Source organism: Homo sapiens, chromosome 18 (genome assembly GCF_000001405.40).
Source record: "Homo sapiens chromosome 18, GRCh38.p14 Primary Assembly".
NCBI lineage: Eukaryota > Metazoa > Chordata > Mammalia > Primates > Hominidae > Homo > Homo sapiens.
In genome coordinates this window covers 25,035,217-25,044,163 of record NC_000018.10, presented here as the reverse complement: position 1 = coordinate 25,044,163, position 8,947 = coordinate 25,035,217, and the positions used below count along the sequence as shown (strand labels likewise).

Genomic DNA, 8,947 nt, shown 5'->3' with positions numbered 1-8,947 from the left:
GCCACCGAATGCTCCAGGCACCCCACAATCCTCCCCTAGCCAGCACCACATTTAATTCAGAAGAGCCAGAGCATGCCCCACCGGGGGAATATGTCCAGCTTCCTAGTCTTAATCCTTCTAAGTCTCGTCATTCTTGATGCCTTCTGATCTCCAGCTTTGTGTTCTTAAATTACAACTTGGAGACAAATACTCATTCTGGTCCTCTCATTTCCATAACAAAAAAAACTCAGCCCCACTCACAGGAGGGAGTAATAGTCGCACGGGAACAGTTGACCTTTCCCTTCACCTTCTTACTTATTCCTCTCTGCAGAAAAGAAGTGACATTTTTGGTAAGATCGGGAGAAGCTGGCAACCACTGGGCCACATTAACAGAGGCAAGAGCCAATTCTGGGGCCTCAATTTGGTCTCACTTTGGTGCTTTCTGATCTGTCTGTTGCTCGGCCCAAGTTGGCCTCATGATCCCTGCAGTGTGCTGGTCAGTCTGATGTGAAGACCCAACTCCCCGGAGAGACCTCCAAGTCTACTTGGGGGAAGCCACATGGAAGCTGTTCTTTGGTTCCAGACCAACTGGAAGCTCTGCTTTGAGGAGTTACTGGGTTCCATCCAGCCAGGAGTAAAGCTGATACTCTTTGCTCTTCATCTATCTCCCTGTGCTGTTCTCAGTTTTCTGTGAGCCTGAAGGAGCAGGATGGGCACTTGACTGGCATTTGTACGCTGCCCACAAATGCACCAACCATATACTACATTACAGTCTCAGGCTTTATTTGTGAATATGCTATGACTGCTGTCTTCACCTGGAATGTAAGCTCTGAAAGTAGGAGCCACATAGTCTACTTACACGTGTGTAGCAGGAAACCAATTAACTCTGGATATGACTTTATGATCGTTTCTATAGCGCTACATAAGTAGATTCCACAGCCAGTTGTTTCAAACCATCCCAAAGTCACCTGATACTAGTAAAATTCCAAGAAAGTCACTTTTCAATAAACTGATAGTCACAGCTTAGTAAGCTACCTCCCAAATGGGTCACCAAAAATAAATCCTCTAAAGGAAGAGCCACTGAAGGATAAACGATGTCAGCCATTCTCCTTGGCAATGCTGGCTTTCCTCCAGCAAGGTCCAAGTGACCTCAATTACTTACTGCAAGTCATCTTGGTTAAATAAAATCAGTCTGCAGTTTGGGTGGCTGGGGCTTTATCCAGGAAAACTGTGGCGCTGAGAGGTAGCAGATACAAAGCCTGCTGAAATCTGTCCAGATAGTATCTGAGCTCCCAGCAAGAAGGAAATGCCACCACCATCTGCCTCTGTTTGTGATGACCTGGGAATAAATAAAAATTAACCTTGGCCCTTGAATGAATCACGGAGCTTATCAACACTTCCTTCGTGTCTTTAATGACTATTGTGAAACAAGTTGACAGTGAATGTTGGAGAGATAGGGCAGAAGGGCTATTGTTCTAAATGGCTCTTTACCAGGCACGGCACTTTGCACCTTCTCATATTTTGTGCCATGATGCACTTTGCACCCTGTATTAGTAACAGTGAAAAATAAGGAGACAGCATCTTCTGAAGCCAGCAGGAGCTCAATGAACCACCGGAAAAGAAAGAAGAAAGGAAAAATAAAAGGAAGGAAGGCAGGAATAAAAGAGGGGAAGGAGAAAATGCTGGAGAGAAGAAGGGAATGACAATCCCAGTCTCCAGATGGTCAGTGTGACTGATGGCTGAGGTGGGTATCCAGGGGGCTGCATCTGGCCTCTGCCCAATTGTCAATAAATAGGCCAGTTTCTGTACTAGCTGCTTAACACACATTATTTTCTTTTATCCTCATAGCAACTCCAAGATGTATGAATCACGATTTTACAGGTGGGGCTATAATCTCTAAAAACTTTTTAGAAAAAACAGCCAGGCTGGGCATGGTGGCTCACGCCTCCAATCCCAGCACTTTGGGAGACCAAGGCAGGTAGATCATCTGAGGTCAGGAGTTCGAGACCATCCTGGCCAACATGGTGAAACCTCATCTCTACTAAAAACACAAAAATTATCCAGGCATGGTGGCGGGCATCTATAATCCCATCTATTGGGGAAGCTGAGGCAGGAGAATCACTTGAGCCCAGGAGATAGAGGTTGCAGTGAGCCGAGATTGTGCCATTGCTCTCCAGCCCGGGTAACAGAGAGAAACTGTCTCAAAACAAACAAATACCCAAAAATACAGCCAGAACACTCAGCTAGTGAATAGAAAAGCCAGCACTTGGACCCAAACAAGGCTGATGCCAAAATCCAAGCTCTTTCCACCATTCTGCATTGATCCTCAGTGGAAATGCCACTGGGCACTGGGGGAGAAATATTATTAGCCATTAACTTTATCTTGAACTAACAAGCTAGTCACTTAGAGAGGCCCTGAAGAAATGGAACAAGGTACAAACACATTTTGATTGGGTTAGGAGTTGGGGGAGGAGGAGGCGTTGGGGAGGGCTCTGGAAGAGCAGCGGGGAAATAGCTCTAGATTATGGGATGCTAATTTAAGCTTTATTGGTTCTGGCGTTTGCTGGACCTCTGAGCACACGCAGGCTTTCCTCAGAAAACACACTGCTGCAGGTGCTGAGGAGCACATTTAGGATGTGTTATCAGGGACAGAGCGGGCCAGAGCCCTCACCGCTGAGAGTGCACGTGTAAAAAAAGATTCACGGTATATTTTTCATGAACTGGTTTGGGCTGGAGCTCAGTCAGTTTAGCCTTATTTTTCTAAATCCGCACACCATGGGGAAAAGGTAAAGAAGGAAAAAGATATTTTGATCAAATGGCTCGTCGGATGTGCCTCTAGAAGACACAGAGAATTGTAAGGCTAACTCCACAGTCAAAATCAGGAGGAATGGAGATCCCTGGGGTTCCGATACCCAAACCTGACACTAATTTTTTCTTTCAAATGATGATTCTAAATAAGTGGGGAGACGACTACCAGAAATCTGAATCCACTTCGGAGACTTGTCGGCCATTATATAATTGGAAGCTTGGTGAGCTGAACCAGCTATTTCCGAAACTTCTTTTGTTTAGTTTCAGGAACATTGTTTGCAACAAAGAAGGAGACATCCCTTGCATCCTGACATATGGTACCTTCTATTTATAACAAGATTAACAATTCATTCACACCTTGATTGAATACTGCTTTATTGAGATGTCACAACAGATTCTCACAGCCTGCAAAGGGAAAGACTTACAAATGATAATATTATGACAAGCAAGACACCTAAAAGTAAATGAATCATAATTGATGATAATTAGAAAGAGCTCAGCACAAACACAGAATCATAGCAGTGATGGTGAGCAGGATTCGCCTCTTGCAGAAGGACTGCCACAGAGCAATTCTGCTGAATTTTCATTGAGAAGTTGAAATCCACTCACACCTGTAAGTCCTAGCTTATTTTCTTATTCATGTAAGAAGCTCCTCCTTGGTTTTAGGGTTTTAGCATATGTTTACATTTGTCGTCCGCAGCTTCACATGAGCCCTTTGCTTGAGAAGGATAAAACTGACGGCTCCTTCTATTACGATCTGGCTGGAAGCAAGGGCATCATCTTTAACACCTCCTTCTGTCCTTCACCCCACATCAATAAGCAAGACTTGTCGATTTGACTCTCAATATTTACTGAATCTCTCCATTTCTCCCCATCCATACTGTTGCCATGCAGACTGGGCCGATATTGTTTCACCTGAGAGTTACTGCTTCCTCCCTGGTCTGATGTCTCCAATCAATTACCCAGAGTACTCCATCTAAAGTGTTTGAAATTCCTCTATGGCTCCCAATTGCCCTTAGAATAATGGTTAAATGTCCAGGTCCCGCAATCCTGCCTGAGAAGCAGGACAGTGATTGCACGGTGATTGAGGGCACACTCTAGTGTGAGTCCTGGTTCTGCCAGATGGGTTACCTTGGGGAGGTCATGTAGCTTCTCTGACTTTCAGTTTTATGATCTACAAATGAAGATTGTGATAGTATCTATCTTACAGGAATCAGCTCCATATAAACCTCATGGAGCAGTGCCTGACCTTTGGCTAATGCCTGTAAGCATTAACTTCCCACTGCCTCCCTTAGCTCAATAGATGAGATAGCAAAGCTTTCTTCTTCTTGTCTCTACATGCTAGCCCCAGGCACTTCTCAGTTCCTCCACTCCACACTCCGAGCCTAAATGCGGGCATTGGCTATGCCCTCTTACTGGAAGTTCCTCATCAGCTCCTCCACCAGGCCCACCCTCTGCACATACTTGACCTGAATAACTCCAAGTCATTTCTTACGTCTCTGTTTTAATGTCACCTCCTCAGGGAAGCCTTCCTTGACTGCTCCTGCCCCTTTCACCTACAGGTAGGCCAGATTGCTTTGTAAAACACTCTCCTCATGCTTACACTTCTTTCTGTAGCCTTTCACACAGCGGAAATTAGCCGTGTTTACTTTTTCTGGATAATGCTTATCTCTCCCTTAATACTGAAAGCTCTGTTGAGGACAGGGATTGAGTTTATCTTATTTACTATTGTGTCATCCAGACCTTAATTTGTTGGATGAACAAATCTACTTCATACTGCCTCCCTCATTAACAGATAATATTAGTTGACTTACTGTGGTAGGCAGAATAATGGCCCCCAAAGGTGTCCACGTCCTAATCCCTGGAACCTGTGAATATGTTAACTTAAAGGCAGAAGGACTTCGCAGATGTGATTAAGGATCTTGAGATAAGGGGATCGTTGTAGATTAGCTGAATGGATCCAGTGTAGTAACAGGGGTACTTAAAAATGGAAGACAGGCCAGGCGTGGTGGCTCACACCTGTAATCCCAGCACTTTGGGAGGCCGAGGCGGGCAGATCACGAGGTCAGGAGATCGAGACCATCCAGGTAGCATGGTGAAACCCTGTCTCTACTAAAAAGCCTAAAAAAAAAAAAAAAAAAAAAAAAAAAACAACTTAGCTGGGCATGGTGGCACATGCCTGTAGTCCTAGCTACTTGGGAGGCTGAGGCCGGAGAATCACCTGAACCCGGGAGGCAGAGGTTGCAGTGAGCCAAGATCGCACCACTGCACTCCAGCCTAGGTGACAGAGTGAGACTCTGTCTCAAAAAAAAAAAAAAAAAAAAAAAGAAAGAAAAAAGAAAACAAAAAAGGAAAACAGGCGCAGGAAAGTCAGGGTAAGAGAGATGTGATATAGGAAAGACTTAACCAGCCACTGAAGGCTTTGAAGGTGGAAACACCTTGTGAGCCAAGAAATATGGAAACCTCTAGAAAACAGATTCTTCACTAGGGCCTCCAGAAGGAAGCAGCCCAGCTGACACCTTGATTTTAGCTCTATGAAGCTCACTTCTGACTTCTGACCGCCAGAAGTATAAGGTAATACTTTAGTGTTGTTCTATGCCACCAAGTTTGTAATTTGTTATGGCAGCAGTAAGAAATGAATACACTTATCCAAGATTAAAATGCAGTGGTTAGAGCCAAGGGCCAGCCCCCTGTTCTTTCCACTACACTACCCTGCCTCTGCCTCCTGCTTCTCAGATCTTGCTGGTTTTCCAATTTGCTTTCATCTTTTTGTTTCCAGAGGAAGAAATCATTAGAGATGCAGCTGCTTACATGCAAGAGCATGTGCACGAAGCCTGGATACACAGATGCATGTGTGCGAGAGAAGGTGTACGGGATTAGAGAGCTCTGAATGGCCTCATAATAGAATCCCAGGGGAGGGCCGGAGGTCCCAGGCCAGCGATGCTCACACGCCCATCTCCTCCTGTCTGTGCCGCACAAAGCCTGACAAGGCCTCACTCATGTTTCAAAGCGCTTTCTCTTTTCAGAGCTATTTGTTATTGTCTCTGCCATCACAAGTTTAAAAAAGGAAAGTTAATTAAATATGGAACAAGACTGAGCAACATCTTTTAAACCATCATGTCATTAGAACTGGAATCCTTAGAGAGCTGCTTAAAAGGGGTTTGAGAACAATGACTGTTCAATCAGATATTTATGGGCATAGTTATGTAAACACACTCTTTATTGTCTATGTATATTTAATATAATTATCAGTTTTGTAGTTGGACTCTCCAGAGACCCAACAAATCACAGTGTTGCTTTGAAAATGTCAGCAGAAAAGACAATTATGTTGCTAGCAAATATTCATAAATTATATTAAAAAGTCCTGTGGAAATGTCCCCATGTTGCAGAATCCTTTGCAGGAACTAAATGATTCTTGTATTTCTTTGATTTAAGGGTGATTTGAGAAGCAAGAAGGTTCTTTGTGAAATCTTACAGATAGGTGCATGGCAAAGGCACAGGCCAACCCTGGAAAACAAAAGCATGTGCATTGCAGAAAATTCAGAAAGTCTGTCCATCATTTTCCTTTTGCTGACTATAATCAGTTTGTACGTGCACACATCCATACAGGTACACACCTGCTCACATAACCGACATGCACATTTTATGCCTTAAAGTATCCCATTAAAGAGAGAAAATAAATTCAATCTGTTCAGTCTTTTAGTACCTACTTAGAGCCATAACTCTTTCCTATGGTATTTTTCTTTAGCAACTATTTATAGTATTTCCCATTTTTCCTCTCTTATCATTTTTTTTTCTCATTATGCACATGGAGAAGTAAGTGGAGAATTGGGAAACTGCTCAGTAAATTAAAATGCACCAGGCTCTTGCTAAACCAATATGAGTGGTGTAGGTTGATAAACACCTAGTAAGCGTTCACAAATCACTTCTATTGCAAGATATACAATCTGCAAATCAACATCTTAATTAGCAGCTAATGACATTTGGAAGGAAAGGTTAATGTTAAGTGCACAAAAGCAGTGTGGTTAAAAAAATTAGATTTTCCTGCCTTCTTCTTATAAAAAATAAAAAAGGAGAGAAAAGATATCCCATGATTGTAATGGGTATTATAAATATACACGTATTGGCAATTTGAAGCATCTTAATAATAGAAGGCCTGTATTGATATGCTACCTTTCATCTCAGGAGTTCAAAGCACTTTGCCTGTATCTCATTTATCCTCAAAATACCCCTCTGAGGGTAAGTGTCTACAGGCAAAATGAAGTGGAGAGTTGAGGCAATTATCAACATAATTCAAACCCAAACCCCTGTTAATGAGAAATAAGTGGACTATCTGCAGAGGCCGAATTTTCCTGATGGGCTTTCTGTTTAGATCAAATTCCCCAGACACTGAGCCACTTGGACTGCACCATCCCCAGGTAGACAGCCCAAGGAAGCGAGTGCAGGGAAATCAGTCACTTTATTTTAAAAAGCTAGTGCCGAGTCGCATATTCAACCCCATCTCTCCTCAGCTGGGGCCGCCTGGGTCTCCTGCCACCTCCCCACACCACAGCCCATGGAAAGCTCCAGGTGGGCCCCTGCCTCACCTGCTTTCCTCTCTGGAAACCCTTCACACCTGTCCATGGCGTTCCTCCTCTCAAATCTTATCATTAGGTCCAGTTCCTCCTAGAAACCTCTTTTGTTGGGGCACAAAAAGACACCATCGAATTTTTATTTTTTGATACATTAGATTGGCTTGCTGGTAATTTTTACCATAACCTGTTGGACATATCTTATTATCTGTACAATTTCAGTTACAATGGCATGAACTGTTGCTAGCTTGCCCTGTATTAAAGCGCCCCATCGCTTTCTGGGTCCGGCTCAGGCATGCGTGGAATGGGTTCTGCATGTCTTTCTGCATCCATGACCTCCTCCCCTTGGGCCTGTTACCAAGAGGCCTCAAGGAATTGCCACTCAGCAGGGCACAATCATCCTCTACAGGAGACCACTGCCCTCCCCTTGGCTCATCTATCTCCAATGGTGGACACACCATTTCCCTTCATTTCCCATGGGCTCTCAACAAGTAATAAGATTTGTGGATTTGGGGGCAGCTGAACGAGTGAATCACATATAATGACCTATACAGGCTGGCCGTGGCCCATGCCCCGGGTCCATCAACAGCTGTCCCTGGTTGCACCCGCAGGCCTATGCCCCACCAGGAGTGTGCCTTGCTTCTCCGGCCTCTCGCTCCCATGCCCCTCAAGCTGCAGAACAAGGAGGATGTTTTTCTCCTTATCCCACTCCGAGCCCCACCTCCTGAGTCTCCATTTCCAGTCCTAAGACACAGCTTTCCCCAGAAAGATTCCCAGTGGAACATCCATTTCTTTCAGGGGAAATTCTAGCCCCACCTGCAGGGGTGTGATTTGTGCTGTGCCTGCACCCCTTCCCCAAAAACACAACCCGCAGCCATGTGTGCAGTTCCCGAGCCCTCAGCTCAGCTCAATTTGCCTTCAGTTTCTTACCCAGAGGAAAGTGAATCCCAGGCCTGCCTGGCCTTCACACTCTGGGCTCTTCAGCACTATGGCCCAAACATACATTTTCAAAGAAAATCACAAAACCCTAAAGAAAACACAACATACAGAAATAGGACATTCTGTTTATAGCTGGAAAGAGACATTTCTTTGATTAAAACTGCATGTATTTCACTCACTGCCCTATTATCAGGGCCTTCCCAGTGTGGGGCCCACAAGAGGCCCTCACTTATGTGCTGACGGGAAAACTCAGCCAACGTGAAGGGCAGCGGATGCAGGTAAGCATGCAAAAGAGGGAGAGAACCTATCTGCTAACAAGAGATAAAGAATACACCCATATTTTATGGAGAAGTTAGTCTTTGAAAATTGACCACACAGCAGCAAAAAATACCTTGTTTTTATATAGCACTTTCCTCCTAAATACTTCAAATTATTTTCATGTTGATTATCATGGTCATTCCCATAACCCAGCTATAATTAGTTGTCATTGATCACATTTTATAGGAGCACAGTTTTAAGTGACTTATCCAAGGCCACAGAATAAATCAGTGGGAGTGACTTTGAAGAAGAGGCTTCAGGTTATCTCTCTATCCACTCCCCTTTTCCCTGCAGGGATTTAGTTAGACTAGACAGTTATCAATACACTGCAT

At 44.1% G+C, this 8,947-nt stretch overlaps 1 long non-coding RNA gene across 2 annotated transcripts, besides 1 other annotated feature; it reads left to right on the top strand.

Moving 5' to 3' along the window:
- The first annotated feature begins 325 nt into the window (after window positions 1–325).
- On the top strand, window positions 326–6,164 carry LOC107985141 (uncharacterized). Of its 2 annotated transcripts, XR_001753376.1 has the most exons (3): window positions 326–1,723; window positions 3,049–3,400; window positions 5,567–6,164. It is a non-coding gene; the product is annotated as an uncharacterized LOC107985141 (long non-coding RNA). The 2 variants fall into 2 exon arrangements; XR_001753375.1 differs by lacking the exon at window positions 326–1,723 and having other exon boundaries at window positions 2,705–3,400.
- Window positions 5,446–7,297: an enhancer, noted in NCBI's record as "VISTA enhancer hs1180". NCBI's record gives its function as "enhancer in: midbrain (mesencephalon)[5/6]" and the evidence as "EXISTENCE:transgenic organism evidence [ECO:0001131][PMID:17130149]".